The 20,767-nt window shown below is 38.6% G+C and overlaps 1 long non-coding RNA gene across 3 annotated transcripts in view, besides 2 other annotated features; it reads right to left on the reverse strand.

Moving 5' to 3' along the window:
• Positions 1 to 8,326, reverse strand: part of LOC105374196 (uncharacterized) — a 37,858-nt gene extending 29,532 nt beyond the window's left edge. The window contains exons 1-4 of one of the 3 annotated variants that reach the window (XR_924682.2): positions 8,290 to 8,326; positions 1,509 to 1,687; positions 974 to 1,154; positions 155 to 244 (exon numbers count right to left, since the gene is read on the reverse strand). This is a non-coding gene — a long non-coding RNA (uncharacterized LOC105374196). Of the gene's footprint in view, positions 1 to 154; positions 245 to 973; positions 1,155 to 1,508; positions 1,771 to 8,289 lie in introns of those variants that run through there. The other 2 variants (XR_001741010.1, XR_001741011.2) reach the window with 2 other exon arrangements.
• Positions 15,956 to 16,456: an enhancer, noted in NCBI's record as "H3K4me1 hESC enhancer chr3:166832178-166832678 (GRCh37/hg19 assembly coordinates)". NCBI's record gives its function as "activates a minimal SCP1, AML or CMV promoter by ChIP-STARR-seq in naive H9 embryonic stem cells {active_cell/tissue: H9 hESC(naive)}" and the evidence as "EXISTENCE:reporter gene assay evidence [ECO:0000049][PMID:30033119]".
• Positions 16,457 to 16,957: an enhancer, noted in NCBI's record as "H3K4me1 hESC enhancer chr3:166832679-166833179 (GRCh37/hg19 assembly coordinates)". NCBI's record gives its function as "activates a minimal SCP1, AML or CMV promoter by ChIP-STARR-seq in naive H9 embryonic stem cells {active_cell/tissue: H9 hESC(naive)}" and the evidence as "EXISTENCE:reporter gene assay evidence [ECO:0000049][PMID:30033119]".

Here is a 20,767-nt window from a genome sequence, read left to right on the forward strand (position 1 = left end):
CTTCATGACATAAGCAAAGAAAAAATAAGATTAAAAATTGTAATTTGTGCTATGTGATTTCAACTTGTTAAAATAATAATTCAGAAGAAGCTAATTCAGAAGAAGCTGGTACAAAATATGCCAAGCTTTTAAAACCTTTGTATCCTTACCTTTAAAGTGTTATAACAACATATTTCTCAGGGCTGCTGAGAGAACCAAATGAACCAGAAAGCCAATACAGCACAGAGGACGTATCCTCAGAGCCCTAACAGGAAACAGATGGCACACTCAAATTGGACAATCAGAGACAATTTGATAAAGGAACTATTTACCAAAGTGTGGCAAGGGTATAGAAAAACATAAAAGAAAGAGTAATGCAGGACTAATAAAAATTGGGGTATGATTATCTACCCTGGATATGAAGGGGCAGTTAGCTAATCCCAGAAGCAGAGAGCTCTGTGTGAAAAGGATTGGTTCACAGAAAGCTCTGATCTTCTGTCCAGAATGGAAGTCAGGCTATAGCAACCCAGCAGAAAGGAAGTCAGGGGTGTAAAGACTCCAGTAATACTCTCTCCCTTTTTTCCATATAAGTCTGCCTGTCAGAGTAGAAAGTAGGATGGAGAATGGTGGAAGGAGGCCTGGTGGGATCGATGAGTTATTCTACCCAGTTGATCTCCTTTGTCCTTTTGCTTCCACTCTTGTCCTTCCACCAGAAAACATGTATCCATAACACAGGGATCATACTAAGTTCTATCAGGTAATTTATCTGTAGATGAGATCCAAACTGAAAGTTAAGGTATATGAAAGCTCATAAATGGTTACATTGAAAAAAAAATGAACAAAAAAGGCAATTTCATATTTGAAATATGTGTCCATCCCTGGAATAAAGGAAGGGTTCCAATATAATCAACGTGCAAACAGTTGTTTGGGGAAGATAAAAAAGCTTGACAAACAAGCGATAATGAGATTTGAGGGAGGGAAAAATGTGAAATACCTTGACTCTCCCAACAGAGTTGGCATGGCACGGCTAAGTCACTTGCCTAAGGCCACAGGTCCTGTTACACAGCTCTATCCACTCGGCACTCCCAGTTTTCAGATTCCAATAACCATTCTTTTTTCTTATTTCTTCAGCCCCAGTAATGACATGAACCATCTCTTGTGAGTTCTCAAATGCCCTGTGCAGATGACATTAAATAGACTTTTAATCAAATTCTTCTCAAATTACCTAATTTGAGTTTAACATCTGATTATCTTTTACAGTGCTAACTGATAGAATAATTGAAACCATCACTGGCCTCAGGAAAGAGTGTCAAAATGCAATTCTGGGATTGAGTTGCTTATATGTTCACGGAGTGAAGGGATATTCTTTCTGGTAGAAGGAAATGAATAATGAATAATCCATGGCAGGTGGTAGTATGATAATAATTCAAATTACCACTAGTGGTGGCTTTATGTCTTGGTCTGCTTAGGCTGCCATAATAAAATACCATAAGCTGGGTGGTTTAAACAACAGGAATTAATTTTCTTACAGCTCTTGAGGCTTGGAAGTCCAAGACCAAGATGCCAGCATGGTCAGTTTCTGGTGAAGCTCTCTTCCTGGTTTGCAGATGGCCACCTTCTCACTGCGTGCTCACATGACCTTTCCTTGATGGTATGCACAGGAGAGAGAACTCTGGTTTCTCTTCCTCTTCTTACAACGACATTAGACCTATGGATTAAGGACTTTATGGCCTCATTTAACTTTACTCACTGCCTCACAGGATCTATCTGTAAACACAGTCACAGGCCCTATCCTCCAATACAGTTAGGACTTCAATATATGAAACGGGTGGTGGGGGAGCACATTCAATCCGTAACTTTTGGAATGAAGTGCAGAGTGAATGCAAGAAGTAATGAAATCAAATATCTGTGGCACTGAGTTGCTACTGCAACAAAAATAACTAAAATATTGATTACAAAGATGCCAATGATGATGTCATGATCTAACTTTTGAACTCCTGGAAAATGTATAAGAGGTAACAGAGAACTTGAGATGTCTGACTGTCCAACAGAGAATGAAAGTGGACAATTGGAAAGCTTCTTCAGGAGCTTTGAAAAGCCCTTTATTTCCTGTAGTTGGGAAGCTGACATGGCTGAGAACCAAGCCCAATGCCTGATTATAATGGTTAGAGTTGCAATGTCAATTAAATATTCAATTCAACCAGCTAAGGGCACTGGCAGGAAATAAATGAGATGCTAAGACATGAATCCCACATGATTCATCCCATGATGCTTCCCACATGAATACAAACATGTGGGAAGTCATAGATAAGACATAAAAGTCTGAAATTTTAAATCATCTTGAAATTTAATCATCTTGAAATTTAAATCATCTTTAAATCGTCTTGAAGCTCCCTTGTGAATGAACATAGATATACTACCCTCACTTTGTGATGAAGTCAGCATTTTCTGAAGTAAAAAAATCACTCAATGTTTGCATTTAAGACAGTTGACCCAAGGCCTCCAGAGCCATAATGGAAATCAGATTCCTAAATAGCCCAGACACAGAAGTACAAAGCTTAACCCCAGAGGAGATAACCTATGTGAGAAAAAAATGTGAGACTTCATGAATCTGTATAGGCAGGAGTATACAGTGTGTGTGTGGGGCATTGGATGCTAAAAGTGGTAGCTGCCCAAGCAAGAAAAAACAAAAAGCTTGCTAACAGTGGGATTACCCAAGGGTCAGGATTTAATGTGTTAAAAGTCTACAAGGTTAGCTAATTGAAGCCTTGACTCAATGGTGACCTATAGTTTATGAGATTGAAATGTCAGAACTTTGGTGCATACTATAATCTTTCAATTTAAAGTTTTGTCCACAAAGCAGTAGGAACACCTGAGAGCTTCTTGAAAAGGCAGAATCCTTGGCCCCAAACTCAATCTATTGTCACAATCGGCATTCAAACAACATCCCCGTTTGATTTGTATGAAACTTTAAATTCAAAAACACTGCAGGTAGATAAAATAATCCAAAATTTCTACCTGGGCAAACTGTTCAGCTAACCTGACGCTGTTAGGAGACCATTTTTCATCTTTCTCTTGTATTTCTGTAGAGAAATGTTTTGCGAGTAGAGGGACTTACTGCTCTTTTTTTTTCTGGACTATATTTTTACTTTTCCACAAATTTTTGTATAGTGAACACCCTCAGAAAATAGATGTAGTATTTCCTCTGGAGCAAAAGTCAGAGACACTCACTATCCAGTATAATAATGTTAATGTCTCCTATGGAGCAAAAGGCAGTCAGGTTTGCTGCCATAAATGATTTTGGTTCTCAAAGCTCAAAAATGATTTGGATTCCCTAAGCTCTTACACCTCAAACCACTGCGTAAGCAGATATCATCTATTCCTCTTCATATCACCAGGGGACTGGAACAAGAAAATGCTGATATGTTGACTACTGATATTGTTGAGAGAAATAAAGATTTTTGTGTCTGACACAGGCGTCTCTTGTTTTCTGCCAGCATCCACAGGTAGGCTAACTTATCTTGGAAGTACAATAAAATCTCAGATCCTTTACATTTCTTGGTAGTTATATTAAAAAGGATGTGAAGCTGACAAACACATGGCTATCTGGAAGAGAAAAATAAGGGACCTTCAAGACAATAAATGGGATTTGAGGCAAGCCCATGTGAACTGGTAATGAATATGTTGATCAAACCGTATGACCAACCAGGCCAAATATAATCTTCCAATTTATTCCTTGTTAAAGAGGAAGAATTGGAGAGACAGTTGTAGGTCAAGTACAAGTAAATGGGTTCAGTGAAAGACAGCTGCCAAATTGGAGTCCCAAATGTGTTAACTCTCCTGCAGGTGGCAGTACTCACCAATAGGGTAGGGGGCCTCAAGATTTGTAACTGCATGGCAGAAGTTCCTAACTCCAGTTAGCTACAGTTACAGAAAATCACACCTACACTTAGTATGCAAGGAGGCAAATCTGTGACTATTGGTTGAAACCAGGTGAATTATGAGAACTTTGATTGATTTTCTAGGGAGATGAGAGAGTGGAGAATGTAATGTCTTTGAATAAAGAAGGCAACAGCTAGGCCATTTTAGGGTTCAGTCACTCATGCAGTCTATCATGCTAATTTCAATCCATTTGAAGAAGACAGTAAAAGTTTTTGGAGACTTTTTCAATGGATATTGACTGTTCTAAGGAAGTTTTGGCTCTCAGATTTACAAGAGAAGAACCCTCATAGTAAACCATAGATTATGCATTGAATAGTATTTGAACTTTTATTGCCCCGGATTGGCTTAATTAGGGATGAAAATAAGTCACTAGAGAATGAGAAACCAACTCAAAGAAATCTAGAGAAATGTTTGCTGTCAGTCCCACTGCCCTGGAAAACTTCCCTTGCCCTTATGCTAAGAGCAGGCAATAATCTAAGAGATATTCTCACAACAATAGGGAAAAAAAATGCACCAGTATAAAGTAGGTTGCGTTAAAACAAAACAAAACAAAACAAAACAAAAAAAACACTGTGCAAGTGAAGTCCAAGTCAGCCAAAAGGTACAAGCCCTGGAGTCCTCCCTATGAAGCAGTGTGGCTCTGGCTGCTGAGTCAAAGGGTCCTCAAAGCTTAGTAAAATGTTTCCCAAAGTTACAATGACCTTGCTGCTTTATATACAGAGGTAAAAATAATAAAAATGTTTGCAATTTGTTTGGTTGAGACATAAGCAGCCACAGCACTCCTTAGAATTGAATGAAAATGGGCCTTGCTTCCTAACAAGAGCTCCCCTCTCCCTCTTTCCTGCTCTACCCCAAGAAAGATGATTAAAAGGGAGAGGCTGAAGTCTTCCTCTCCCAGGAGAAACCAGGGCTGTAAGTACTCATCACCATATGCTTGAAGACTTTGGTAAAGGGAAGAATTCAAACTTAACTTTCTGTCACAATATAGTTTGGAAGTGCTCAGATTTTCATGATCTTTATCATAGTCTTGACATTTTGGCTTTGGATTCATTCCGATCTTTAACAATTTGTTTGATCTTGCATAAGATGTTAAACTTTTCTTATATATTGAAAACATTAGCAGTACTTATTTTATTATAATCTTGTGAATATTAAATGTGGTAATATGCATGAAGATTGTATTATCATCTGGCAAACAATATAGGCTGTTCTTGATAACTATTAGCTACTATTATCATTTATATGAAATGTACGGTGGGTATAACATCACAACAATTTTGCCATTGATAAGTTATGGTAGAACATGTCTCGTACCATTTCTATAGTAAAAATGCAATTTTTAATATAAATTATTAATATATTGAAAATTGGAAGAAATATTGAGCTCTAAAAATTTAGTCAAGACATTTTGTCTTCTTAAGTCTACTATTAAAAATAAACTTAAAATAGGTGGCCATTAAAATTATGTATATTGATAAAGAAGGATGATTATGAAGTACTGTTTAGGAGGAAAAATGCACGTTGCACATTTGCAATCATAATATGATTATATTTATATAAATATATAGGTATACAGAGAAGGAGTGAGAGATTGTACATATCTGCATCTATATGTAGAAAATAGTCTAGACCCTTTTCAAAACATGCAGCCAACAATCATATGAAAAAAGGCTCAACAACACTGATTATTAGAGAAATGCGAATCAAAACCACAATGAGATATCTCACAGCAGTCAGAATGGTTATTATTAAAAAGGCAAAAAAATAACAGATGCTGGTGAGGTTGTGGAGAAAAGGAACACTTACACGCTGTTGGTGGGAGTGTAAATTAGTTCAACCATTACGGAAGACAGTGTGGCAATTCCTCAAAGATATAAAGACAGAATCACCATTTGATTCAGCAATCCCATTACTAGGCATGAAGCCAAATGAGTATAAATTGTTCTGTTATAAAGATATATGCATGCTCATATTCATTGCAGCACTATTCACAATAGCAAAGACATGGAATCAACTCAAATGCCCATCAGTGGTAGATTGGATAAAGAAAATGTATGACATATACACCATGGAATGCTATGAAACCTTTAAAAGAAATGAGATTATGTCCTTTGCAGGGACATGGATGGAGCTAGAAGCCATTATCCTCAGCAAACTAACACAGGAACAGAAAACCAAATACCACATGTTCTCGCTTATAAGTAGGATTCAAATGGTCAGAACACATGGACACATAGAGGGGAACAACACACACTAGGGCCTATCAGAGGGTGGGGGGTGAGAGGAGGGAGAGAATCAAGAAAAATTACTAATGGAGACTAGACTTATAACCTGGGTTACCAAGTAATCTGTCCAAAAAAAAAAAAAAAAAACCATGACACAAGTTTACCTATGTAACAAAAATAAAAGTTTTTTTAAAAAGAAAATCATCTAGAAAAATGCACTGTAAATTTTAATTATGTCTATCTCTGGGAATTAAATTAAGAAATATTTGTACTTTGATATATTTCTGTACTCTTTAAATACATTGAAAGAATTATGGTTTATATGCATAAAAACATATGATTTCTTTTGTTGTAGAATAGGTACATTTTTATTTAGCACAAAACTCTGGAAATCAAAGTGAGCTGATAACTGAGCTGATACGTGCACAGTGTATTATACTTTGATATTTCTATTGTTTAAAAAATAGTTTTTATATATAACCTACCAAAATTTTTGTAAATACAAAAAGACCTAGAAGTATTATATTCCAAGACCTTTATTTTAATTATCCTCAAAACACATCCTATCTGTTTAGTTGGTTCTTGTCAACAATTTTTCAGAGTTCTAGGTAAATAGAATAATAATATTGACTAACAGAAAGATCTTTATCCATGGAATGTTCTTTACAGGATGGCTCTGGCTTAGGATCCCTTATAGTCAATAAAACTAGAATCTATAGATTTATAAAGCTTAGCTTCATAAATAAAGCTTTGCTCCATGGACAATGTTACATAAGCTGTGGCATAAAATGGAGATAACTAAAATTCTCCTGCTGTGTGAGGGAATAATCTCTCGAAGACATGTCAACTCTTGGCCAGGAAGAGCATGTCCACTGCAGGAGGAAGAACTTAGGGAACTGCCTTCAATGTCGTGGACAACTGCCAATTTTCCTTCAACAAACCAATTGCCTTTAATAACAGGGAAGAATTTTGATTCATGTGAGTCAGATTTAAGGATACAATATTTTGTATTAGCTCAAAAACAGAGTAAACAAAAGAAGAAAACAACAAAATTACATGCTTATTAATATATTTCTCCAAATAATAGTGATTTTAAAATACAAAGGTTAATGAATATGTAGAACTTACCATGTACCAGGTGCTTTCCCTATGTTATTTTGCTCTACTATCTACCATGCGAGGTATATAGAAATATTCTCATTTTCAAATAAAATTAGTAAGACACAAAGAGATTTTTTTATGTGCAAACTTACCCAGCTACTAAGTGAGGGATCTGGCATTTCAACCTAGATCCGTCTCCTTACCACCTACTACTACATATGAGGAATTTAAGTCTTTGACATTCTTTCCATGGGTTGAATTCAAGAACCAGTTCACTGCTTTAGAACCTGATGTGAAATTCCAAGTGTATTAGAAAGCATTACTTTCTATATTTGCAGCCCTGAATCTATCTCCCTCTAAGCCTTATATATCCAACAAATAACTTAATTGCCTTTGGTTAGATGTCCAGAGCTAGGGTCTGAGACTCAGATGAAATGATTCTCCATCTAATACAAGTTTCTTTGAATGGCACTCAGGACCCATTCTTGAAAAGTCACTTCTAATTACACTTTGACATTTGTTTTGCTTTACAACAAAGAAATAAATAAATAAAACCCATGACTTTTAATAAAATGGATATGGGTTTTGCCCTGGGAGTAAGTCAAAATTGAAAGAAGTCATCTATAAAGCTTTTGAAAGAGTTTGAATGGAATTACTTTGTCTTTTTTCATCTAAAATGAAAGTGATACTTCTGTGCTCCATAGGCAGAAATATGTATTCTTTTTTGACATATGATCCAGGGATTTTTAATGCTTCTCTAGAAAAATGAATTCTAGAGAGGCTAAGATGATGAATAATTACAAGTAACAGAGTTCTCTTCTTTTGATGTTATTCCCAGTTACTTCTCATTTTGAATAAATAAATATTCCTGTGAAAGTAGGGCAGTTGAGGAGTAGGTGCAGGTAGAAATGTGTCATGTTATACAACCCTAGGATTCATCAGCAGGTGGGCATCATGACATGAAACCAAAACTCACAGGTGAATAGATGGCATCCATCCAAAAGCAAGGTCATTTGGGCCACACATTTATAATTACACTCACCATATATACTTCACATAAGAAAAAAGATAATTCTTTTGTTGCTCCATGATTTTCACTATTTTTCTAGCATTCACAGAGTACCTTGGTGAAAGAAAAAAAGGTCAAAATATCACAAATGACAGAAAATTAAAGCAGAGGTGATAAAAATATATAAACTCTGGATAAAGTAGTCTAGACCCTTTAACAAGAACTGTTTCTATGACAAAAGTAATTGTTTTTGCTGAAGCTGTTGTTTTCACATGAATTAATAGTGTTAATAGTGCCAGTCATTTCATTCAGAACAATCTAATTTGTTTATTGATATGGTTCTTTTAGTGAAAAGTAGTAAGAGAAGAAGTTCCTGGTTTCATAGCTTCCTACCCCAAAGGTATGATGGAATGCATTCACATGCTGTAAATTATTTTAGAAAGATCAAAGTAATTGACTTAATTAGCTATGATAGCATGTACGACTTGCTTTTATAAATTGAGGAAGAAAGTGTCTCTGCACTTCAGAAGCTGAGCAGAGCACTAATGGGGCAGATACACAAGTGTTTTCCCTGTAGTAATCTACCTTCTATAGTCTTTTTCATTGTATAGATCCTTAAAGTGTGGTATTTTTCTCCAAATTGTTTTTATCACAATCCATTCTAAATTTGTGCCAAGTTGAAAAATGATGAAGAAATACACATTGCCCATACTGTCAAATTAATATAAGTAAAGTTATATAGATGTGAAGTTATATACGTGTATACATGCACATCTATGAAGAAAGAGATAGAGAAAGAGAGAGAGAATGACTGAATCTTGTTCAGTGCTTTTCTTGGTAAATCAAAGAAAATTCAGGGGCACCTAAATGGTGCTTTCTCTGAGGCAATGTTGTCAATCTCTCAACGTGCCTTTTTCTGTATTCCCTGATTTTCCTGCTGCCTCAGTTCCTATTTGGAAATAAAATTAGCCTCTGCTGAACGTAAATATCAGCAACCAGATAATCAGGCTTTCCCACTGCTTTTCTGGGGACCCATCTTAGACCAGAAATGCAAGAAAAAAATTGATACACATGCTGAAATAAAGTTTCTATCTGAGTTGTCTGGTTTGAAGAGAGCAAGTGAAGAGACCACAGGGATTGAGGATAATGGGAGAAAATTATGGAATAGGTATTTTATTATAGAAAGTCTGAATAATGCTATTTATTTTTTTATGAAAATAAAACAATCTAGAAGCCTTCACGTTTCTAATATACTAGTCAAATTAGACTCTCCTCTCTCTTTCAACATCACTCCATTCTCCCTAAGTATTTTTGGTTGAAAATCAGGGAGTCTAAGACTAATTTATCTTTCTCCCATAGTCTATTTCTTCTTCAGTTATCACAGCCCAGTGAAGGATATAACCATTGACTCAGACAACCAAAGGATCTAGAAATTTCTAATTACCCTTTGATTCTTCTTTCTTCCTCACATGTAACATTCAGTCACCAGCTAAGTCCTATGTCTAGTTCCTCCATGGCTCTTCATATTTCTCCTTTCAACCCCCACTGCATTATCTGTCTTTCAGCCCTTACTACTTCTCACCTGCACTAAAACAATAGTGCCTGAACATGTATCTCTGTATCTCTGCAATCTCCCCTTCCTTTCGTTGCAAGAATAATTTTTCTAAAATCATATTCTGTCACTTTCTGTAAAATGATGTAGAAGTATTAGAACACTCTCTCCCTGAAGTACAGATTGTCTTATATGGTATGAATTATCTTCTGGGCTCTGGCTATCCTTACAGGCTCCATTGCTTGAGGGAAAATATCACTGTAAATTGGCTTATCTTTGTAGCAAACATATACTGTAAAGAAAAGTTGATTCTATATATGTGAATCTTAGCCTCTTTCATAGGTCGTATGAAACAGATTTTGAGACTGTTTAAGATTTTCATACAGGAGGTACTAGGGATGGAGAAACAACATGTATGAAGGATGAACTTAGCAGGAGGAGAGGTTGAATTATAATGTTATTGCAATAGAGCCTTGGCCAATCCTACAGAGAGTTTTGTCCTTCAAAAATTCCATAATAAAGGTGAGAGATCAAGTTTAGATCCCCCTACATGGGCCAGTCATTGGAATATTGGCTACCCTGGGGAGAGTCATGGCTTGGGTAAAGCAGTTTTCTTCCAACAAAGGCAATTCATGGAAAATAATTCAGCTTTAAGTCATCAGCTGTCGATACTCCCAACAGCTAAAAAATGAGTCCCTAGGTCCCAAAGAGGCACCTGGGTGGATCTTCCCAGTGATTACAATTTTTACCAGAATGTCTTTATTTCAGCAGTCATTGTCATTTAAACTTATTCCTCACAGGACATTAATGAGAGCCAAATTCTAAATTTAAAAAATAAGGATACATGATAAAGATGATTATCCTAAAGCTTTATATAGCTTGACAATGATTTCCAAAATAAACATTAAGAAAATAAAAGTGTAAATTGAAGAAACAATATATTCATGTTCAGCTGTGTTGACCTCTGGATGTAGCTTGTTAAATAGGTAAATTATTTCCTAATTTCCTCTTTTGGTAGGATTTCTATAAATGTAGAATAAAAACTTAGACTTTCAAAAGGTACTTGAGAAATTGGAACATCTTCATTCTTTGGTCAATCTCATTACTATCACATAACCCTGTTATTGTGCTCCACAAGATATTTTCTGACTTAGTTAATGTTACTTTTAAGTTACAAAAATTAGCCTGGGCAATACACTGAGACCTCTTCTCTAGAAAAAATAAACAAAAATCAGCTGTGTGTCGTGGCATGCACCTGTGATACTAGCTACTTGGGAAACTGAAGTGGGAGGATCACTTGAACCCAGGGCGTTGAGGCTGCAGTAAGCTCTAACTGTGCCACCATACTCCAGCCTGGGCAACAGGGCAAGACTCAGTCCAATAATAATAATAATAATTAAAATAAATAAATTACAGAAATTGATCAACATTTTAAAGGTAATTTTTATTTTCTGTGCTGAAGTATTGGCTGAAAATTTACAAATAAATATGACATATTGATAGTTATTAACTATTAAAATAATTAATACTATATTATTATTATACCCATTGAAGTAAATGCAATTAGAATTTAGGTAGATTTATTTACCATTCATATAACTTAAGCCAGGCAGACTTACAAAGAATGCAGAGAATTGTCCCTAGATGATTGTGCAAAAGACAGCGTGAATGAGGGAAGCCCTCTCACACTCACACCATGCTCTTACTAAGAGGAAATGCATAGTTAGTCCCCAGTACTGCAAGTGACATAGGAAGTAAAGACTCTGCTTAGAGTCTCTATATAAAGACAGTTACTAATGAAAATGAGTGCTATAAAACTGCAGCAAAGGAATTTCAGAAAGCAGAATTTGTGCAGATTTTCTAAAGCTCTGTCATCAGAGCTGACATGATATTCCTTAATTTTTTAAAATAAGGGCAAAAAAAAAACCTTAAAAAATTTTCAACCTATTCTAACACTCACAGTCAAACATACATTTTTACCACAATATTTAACTTATATTTGTCCATCCCTCATTAGCCTATATTTCCATCCTTTTATTCTCTGCTGACTTCTTCCTCACAGTGTATAAATACCGTAAAATCCTTCCCAGATAAAGAAGCCTTCCTTATTCTTTTGTCTCTACGTGCCCTTCTTAACCAAGACCTTCAAAAGAGTAGTCCACAATTGATAGACTCGCTTGTTCTCTTCCTATTCACTGATTACATTATTAAAATCAGGATCTCATTCCACGTACTTAGTATAGCCATTCAGACAAAAGTCACCAGTGACAACCTAACTTGTAAATCCAATGAGCTTTTCTACACGTTCATCTTATTTTACTTCTCTAGGGAACTCAACACTGTGAATGTACATATAAACACACTTATTCACATCCATGCACACATAAAATATGTGTTTTTGAAAGAATATATAACAATGAAACTTTCAAATTAAATGTAATGTTTGAGTAATGAGCATGTTTTACTTTTGTAATTTAAAAAAATTTTAAAGCACCCCAAACAGATTTTAAACCCTGGGGAAAATGTTATAACCTCATGTTCTGCTGAGAAGACTGAGCTGTTTTATTACTGTATTTAGTTTGAGCTTGACCTCCACATCTTTCACAATTAGATCAAACTTTCAAAGAAAGCTGCACCACAGTCAGTGATGAAAAAAGAGAAAGGCACTCGATTTGATGTTATATACCCAGAAGTTCTTATTCACTCTATGGATCACTGACCAAAGGCCACAAAATTTCCAATTTGAAACCATGAATGAGAAAAAAAGTTAGCCGCTGACTGGAGCACCTTCGTCCTGATTCACAGCAGCCCCTGCCTCTCGGGTTTGATGTGCCTCAGCAATGTTATTTTGGGTTAGTTACTAGGCAACTACATCTGTGAGTCATGGGAGAGCACTCGGCAGCACCATCATCTGTGTCATCTTTCAATAGATTTCACACAATAGCTAAATACCAGTCACCTTTTCCTCACGAAGGCCCATGTCAGAAATCAGGACGGGAACCTGGTCTGCGTAGGATGGTTTTATACTGTAGGACTCATAATCAGCTTCCATGTAATTTCAGAAATAAACACCATTACAATTTTTTAAATAAATGGTTTACTAAAAGGGAGTCAACAAAAAGGAGTATAAAGTAAAAATAAGTATCATTCCCTTAGGTGGGATGGTCAATAAATAAGACACCTCTGGAAGATTTATTATCTCTCTCAAGTCTCCTCCAGGTTACAGCTCGAGAAATCCATTACTGTTTTCAGTGTACTAAAATAGACAGCTAGATTCTTCTCTTCTCAGTGTTCAGGACAACATACCCTATAATCTGGTGGAGACAAAAGCCTTCTCTCTATTACTTTTAAGCAGACTCAATTATTCTTTTGGCTAAAAATTTTGTTCCATCCCAAAATATAAAAGTTACTAGAGACTAGGGTGTGCACCTGGGATTAAGCAGGTGGATAATGAAGGAAATAAATACAGGTTCTTCACAAGCAAATATTCAACTACACACTGAACTCTTCCGATCAATGTCCCTCATATACCTGAATATCAACATTTCAAAGTTTACCTAACTCTGCTCCTCTTTCCAGAACACTTTTTTGTTCACTGAGGGTATCTGCCACCATCTAACCACTCAGGCTGAAAATAGTCCTGATCTCCTCCCTCTCCCTTCATCAGGGCCAGCTTCATGGGCATGTAACTTATGCACTCACACAAGACTCCATTCACTGAAGGACCTCATACTTCATTAAATACTTAATAATAAACAATGTGTACTGTGTTTTCATTTTGCAATAGACCCCAAAATTATGTAGCCTGCTCTGCCTTACATTTTTCATGTCAAATTAGCCACTAATTCTGTCCATTCTACCTACTAAACTAACCTAAAAACCTATCGATACTGTATCTCACTTTCATGGTTTAGGCCTTCAGCCTCCTACTAATGAAACCTGATTTTGGAAAGGATTTTAAGGAATGTGTCTCATTGGCAGTAAACAGGGTCATGAGCAGGAGTTAGTAGAGAAGAGTGGTGAAAGAATATTCCAGGCAGCAGCAACAGCAGTGGACCATTCTGAAGTGGGAAAGAGGATGGTAGGTGGATAGAGCAAGGTGTGGAAATCCTGGATGCCCTCCCTTTATTCTTGCTCCGCTTCTCTGAGTCTGCCCCTACATGTTATCCAAGCCGAGGACTTCTGGTTATTATTTCTCACACCTGGTCCAGTGCACATTTGGATCTAACATGAGATTTTATTACTGTTGTTTTTAATCTGTTGCACTGTCTCTTAGAAACAGTTCATCATGTATCCTCAGGATCTCTCTGTCTAAACACTTTACTGTTAGGCCTACCTTATCCTCTATAGTAGAGGCAGGAGGTTGGACAGTCTCATTTCTTAGCACTTTTATACACATTCTCTGTAATATGATCCAACCACAACAACCTATGTGTCTCTGTACCTTTGACCAGAGTGCTCTCTCGGCCTGTAACTCCTTACCTACTCAATTACCCAGAAGTAAAGCCAGCACATTTCCAGCAATCTTTTCAGATAAATTTTATCACCATTTCTTGGAAAGGCTGAAGCTGCGGATAGTATCATCCTCTTCTTCCTCATCTTCATGTAGCTGCTTTGCTTGTTTCTACTGTAGAACCAGTCACATGTGTTGGATGTTTAAGGGAAGGAAAGAAAAGAGAGAAGGGGCTGGGCGTGGTGGCTCATGCCTGTAATTCCATCACTTTGGGAGGCCAAGGCGGGCAGATCATGAGATCAAGAGATAGAGACCATCCTGGCCAACATGGTGAAATCCCGTCTGTACTAAAAATACAGAAATTAGCCGGACGTGGTGGCGCACGCCTGTAGTCCCAGCTACTTGGAGGGGTTGAGGCAGGAGAATCACTTGAACCTGGGAAGTGGAGGTTTCAGTGAGCCGAGATTGTGCCACTGCACTCCAGCCTGGCGACAGAGCAAGACTATGCCTCAAAAATAAATAAATAAATAAATAAATAAATAAATAAATAAATAAATAAATAAATAAATAAAATAAGAGAAGGATGAAACAAGAGTTCTGGACTCATTAGGAAAAAGTCTATAAATTAGCAAGTGAGGGCTTTGAAACAAAAACACGAAAGTCACCGAAGACGGCTCACCTACTTCTTAATTTTCTCTACATTTTTTCCCCTCTGGAAATCACTAGGGTTTCCCTAAATGGGTTCGTGCCAGTTTGAACTGTGCCAGCTTTCTCAAGACAGCAGCCTGAATGCTTTCCTTTCAGCCCTATGAGAGGTAATAAACCAGAAGTCAGTGAGCTCAGCTACCCTAGCCTCCTGTATTCCTATATGCTCTCTGCATGCATAAAGGAAGTCTCAGTATTATCCCTTCCTTTCCCACTGGAAGCAGTGCATTTGGCATTTATGCTGGTTCACTGATTCTAAAGGGTCAGGATGAGGAAGCCACGACTTCCTCCAATTACCCAGAACAGCTGAACTCAGCAGACACTGGAAGACTCCCTCCACAAACTCTTTTCCAAGCAGCTGCTGTAATCTAGCCATCTATTTATGTACAAAAGACTAAGTTATTTTCAGAAAAACAAAAACAATACAGGTTACACATGAAAGATCTCTCTATTCCTTACCCCTTCCAAGTAAACTAATTCCAACTAGATAAGCTGCTCTGGAATTAGGAATTCAGATGTACGATCAAATAACATCAAAATAACGTGTTATAAATTTACTCACTAAGCCAATACATGAATACTTTTATTTCTAATCATATTGAAATGCAAAAGAAAAATAATTTCACATTATTTTTGCATTTATTTCATAATTTAATATATATGAGAATGTTCATAAAATTCCAAAAAATAATATTGGGAAGAAAAGACAGGGTAATTACTTCTCCCTATTTAATTTTTACTCTGAATTTATAAATATAAAATATTAATACATCTGGCATGTTAACATTCAATGTCAGTAACAACATTACCAGACTTCTGTTATGTTGGTGTTCTTTTAATTTCTAATTCACTTTCAAATTATTTTTATTTTATTATCTCTACTCAGTTTAAATTTTTGATTTTCATTTCCTGTTTTCAATTTGTTTCTTCTGCCAGACTTTATTATTATAAAATTTATAAACCATGGCATTCTGTGGCTGATAAGTAAGTACAGCCAGCAGCCAGTTTTATTTTTCAGAAATGAAGAAATACACTTATTACAAAAAAAAGACCTTAATCATACTTTCCTTTATTTTTATGGTCATACCACTTTTGACAATGCAAAGGGTGTTAAAATGCAACTGCAGTATGATATACCATTAATGATTTAATATTATAAATGTATTCCAAAGAAACAGAAATACCTTCATCAAGCGCAACTGCTTTTGAAATTTCCTTGACATTTAACATGTGCTAGTGTTAGGAGATCTTTGGGGTGTCACCTTTCAGGCCGCAAACCTGTGGCCGGTGGCGCCTTTCCTCGAGTTTTGCTCCAAACCACTGGGCTCATTCTGCCCACTGGGCCTAGAGGCTGTGCTCAACTCACCTTACCTGCCTGGATCCCACGCCTCCAAGGGAGATTGCAAGTCAGGCTTTGAGCGGCAAAGGGTTGTGAGCCAGCATGGGGTCAGGTCACTGCAGTCAGACAAGCCGGCTGCTGCTATGGGGCAGGCAGCTCCAGGTGCTAGCATGGGCACTGGCTCTCTGAAAGGCTGCAGCTGGACCAGGCCCACCACAAGCAGCTTCCCTGGCTGGCAACGGGGAATGCAGTGACACCTGGTAACTTGGAGATGTCAGGAACTGCAGGGTCCCAAAGAGGGAGTCACATCCCTGGCTGGGGGAGCTCCCAGGTCTAGGCTTCCTGAAGGGCCACAGTTCTTTTCTCCTTCTCTTCACCTGCAATGTGATGAGCAAGGGGCATGTTTCAGCCCTGTTTGTGTTTCAGCTGTCTTAGCCTGGCGGCAGGGCCCACGTTCTTGTCCTGCGACCAGGAAGAATGAGGTACACAGACAAGTGGAAGGTGAGCAAGATGAAGCGGAGCTTTATTGAGTGATAGAAGAGCTCAGAGGAAACCTGCAGGGGGTAGCTCCTTTCTGCAGCCAGGGTGAGCTGATGAGCATTCAGCTCCTAGCAGAGAGGGTAAGTCCTCTCTGCTAGACAAATCGTCCTGACAAGTGTTCAGCTATCAGCAGAGAGAGTGGCTCCTCTCTGCAGCTTGTCCTCCCCACATCTTCAACTATCAGTGGAGAGGGCAGTTCCTCTCTATAGCTGGTCATTGGTTGTCTGTTCTGCTCTAGCTGAGCTAGGGACTTTTATGGGTCTCAAAAAGGAGGAAGTGCTTGTCGATTGGTCCATGGGCAGCCATGGGCGGTGGAAAAGGCACCAGGTTTCCACTTGGTCTGTAGGACTGTCAGCACAGACCCCTGCCTTCAGGCCCTCCCTGGTCTGAAGATGAGGACTCACTGGGGACTGTCCCCTTCCACCCAAGAGCCTGTCTGTCTCCTGCCATCGCCCATGGCGCCCAGGCTGCTTGCACCAATGGGCACCTGCAAGTCAGCACCCCCATTGTCTTCCCCGCCATCCTTATTGGAGCCCAGAGTCTGGAGGGGGGCTGAGGTGGCAGAAGGCTAGTGTGTCAGCACTGCCCGGAGTTTGCACACACCCCGCCGGGCTGTGTCAGCCCCGATCTCAGCCCTAACCCTGTTTGGAGATCGGAGTGGGCATCGGGAGCAGGGAGAGGCCAGATGGTGGGAGCAGACATCCTTGATCCTGCAGGGGAAGAGGGAACTTTCCCAGGCTCCCAAGAGTGCAGAGTGCAGAGACCCCTGGGAGTCCCAGCCATGCTTCCTTGCAGCAGCAAGAGCAACGACGCTGCAAGCTCCCTCCATGGCCTCCGTGCTCAGGGGCAGCCCCCAGGGCTCCCCTTTGCCCAGCTCGTGGACCTGTCAGTAGCGGGGGCGCCTCTGGGAGTGAATCGTGAACCCTGGCCTGGCTGTCAGGAGTGTCAGACTCAACGATCAGCCTGATGCTGTGCGGACCCCAGGGACGGGGTCCCAGGCGCCCTGCGCAAAGCCTCCTCCAAAGGCAAAGGAACTCAGTGCCCTTGGTGGGGTGAGCGCGGTGGCCGCGCCACTGGCCAGGTCCCTGGAGCCGGCACCACTCCCACTTCCCGCCCCGGGCCCTCAAAGCATAGACCCAGCTCTGCGCCCTGGGCCTCTCTTTGTCCGACCACACTCCCCGGCTGGCGGGCAGCTCTGCCCGGCCCCATGGCAGCGGCTCCCAGGGCTCCCGCTTGTCCCTGGATCCCGCCAGCTCCATGGAGTGCAGCACTGCCCCTGGCCCAGCTGTGCCTCCTCCCTGAACCCTCCCTGTTGCGGTGGTGGGTGATAGTAGTGATGTGGATTCAGGGTCCGGAGCAATGAAGGCTCCCGGCCTGGGAGCAGGCTCCAGCCTGCTGCGGAAGGATGGACAGCTGCACAGTTGGCCACCTCAGGGACGTGGCACACAGGGGACCCACCGCTGCCACTGCCACTCCCACAACCCCTCCTGCCAACACCGCCCGTGCCTCCCAGCCACTGCCATCACTAGTAACTTCTGTGAAGACAATGTGCACACTAGTTTTAATGGCATCATTGATTCAGGATGATTGAAATAAGCCCCACACCATGCTCAGCATCTAATAGTGTATGCCTTGTACTAACTCCTGTCCTTACGCATGTGGGGCAGCATAATGTCTATATTATCTAAATTCTCCTAAAATTAATAACTCAGTTAATGATAGCTTAAATTATTTATAGAAAACTAACTCTCATATAGATAATTTGCAAAGTTAGATTTAAAGAACTGAGATGTAAAATTTTATCTTTTTTTCTACTTTGTACTTTCATGAAGAAAAATGACTTCAGTATCACTGCACTAATTTCCTTATTGCTAGTGTTCTTTAAAGCTCATCCACAGTGCCCCAAACTCCAAAGCGTACTCATTTTCCCCCCCTTTTTTTTTACAAACAGTATGCTTTACTTAATTCTAAAGTATAAAGAAATAAAGTGATGGTAGTACTAAAAAATATGGCAATAATAATGTTAATAAGATAGCAGTTAACATTTATATAGAATTAAGTATGTGCCAGACATTGATCTAATCCTTTTACAGGTATTAACACATTCACTTGGCACCATAGATAACTTATAGAGTTTCCTGGTCAAATTTCACTCTTTGAGAAACAATTAAAAACTCACTACAGAAGGTCTGCTATTTCTTCCACAGTCTCACCACAAAAATCAATGCATGCAATCAAGATTTCAAATGGTTTTGCAGTTTTACAAGTATTGCTTATCACCTTGCACCTGTTAGAATGCCCATTCTCAACAACAAGCCAAAAGATAACAAGTATTGACGAGGATGAGGAAAAAAGGAAACCCTTGCACACTATTAATGGGAATATAAATTAGTACAACCATTATGGAAAGAAGTATGGAGGTTTTCAAAAAATTTAAAGTAGAACTAACATATGACCCAGCAATCCAACTACTGGTTATGCATCCAAAGAAATGAAATCAGTATACAGAGAGATACCAGCACTCCCATGGTCATTGTCACATTATTCATAGTAGACAAATACGAAAATGACTCATAGTTATTGCCACATTATTCACAATAGACAAATATGAAAGCAACCTAAGTGTCTACCAACAGATGAATGAATAGCAGTGCATATACACACAATGGAATACTATTCCATCACAATAAGAGAAGAAAATCCTCTTATTTATGACAGCATGAATGAACCTGGAGGATATCATGTTAAGTGAAATAAGCCAGGCACAGGAAGACAAATACCACACGATTTTGCTTATATGTGGAATCTAAAAAAGTTGATCTTTTAGAAGTAGAGAAGAGAATGGCAATTATCAGGGGCTGGAAATTGTTGGGAGGGTGGGGATGTTGGGAAGATATTGGTCAAAGAATATAAAATTTCAGTTAGATAGAAGGAATGAGTTCAATATATCTTTTATACAACGTAGTGACTATAGTTAATAATATATTGTATTCTTGAAAAATGCTAAGAGAATGGATATAAAGTATTCTCACCACAGAAATGATAAATATGTGAGGTAATACATATGTTAATTAGCTAGATCTTATCATTGCAAAATGTATATATACTGTAAGACATCATACTGTACATGGTAAATACATATAATTTTATCTGTCAATTTTTTTTAAATGAAAGGTATCTCTCTGTGGCCAAAATAGAGCTATTTCTCAGTAGACATGGCTAACTCTACTCAATATTACCCTCATCCGCACTATGCACCACACCCCATGCAGACACGGTTCTCCTGAGAACATTTACTTTCACTAGGACAGTTACCTCTCAGATACCTCTGCCCCTGTGTTGGAACTGAGGGCTCCCTTAGAACATTAGCAGTGGGATGTTACATGAGACTACATGAACTGCCAGAATTCATATGATGAATTTGTGTCTAATTATATCTACACATATATTATTCTGGACATAGGGTTTATTTTATGAAAGGTTAAGAAATATTACACAGTATAGTGGCAAAATGGGTAAAATTTTCTTCTCCTGCCTTCATTATACTCCCTTAGCAGAAAGCCAAAGTACTGTAGCTTGTACCCCAATATTTTACAGGGTATTGATACAAAAAAGTCTTTTTTGGTTTCTACGTATATTTTCCCTCCTTCCTGCAAATCATAAATATTAGCTTAGGTAGCACTTAGATGACAGTCAAATTTGAGAAACAAAAGCTTTGCTCTTCTCCTAGAAGCTCCTCCTTCTGAAGCTGAAAGTTTCTTTATCTGGCCAGATTTGTAGATTTATTACCTCTCCCCTTAGGGTTAATTATTTCTCAGGAAGTTTCCAGGTCCTTTGGAAAACATCATCCCAGAGGAACTAACTCTTCAATTCATAGTATATGATCACACATCTTCAGCCAAGAGGTAGCTGTGAATTAGGT

Source organism: Homo sapiens, chromosome 3, assembly GCF_000001405.40.
Source record: "Homo sapiens chromosome 3, GRCh38.p14 Primary Assembly".
In the NCBI taxonomy this organism is placed as follows: domain Eukaryota; kingdom Metazoa; phylum Chordata; class Mammalia; order Primates; family Hominidae; genus Homo; species Homo sapiens.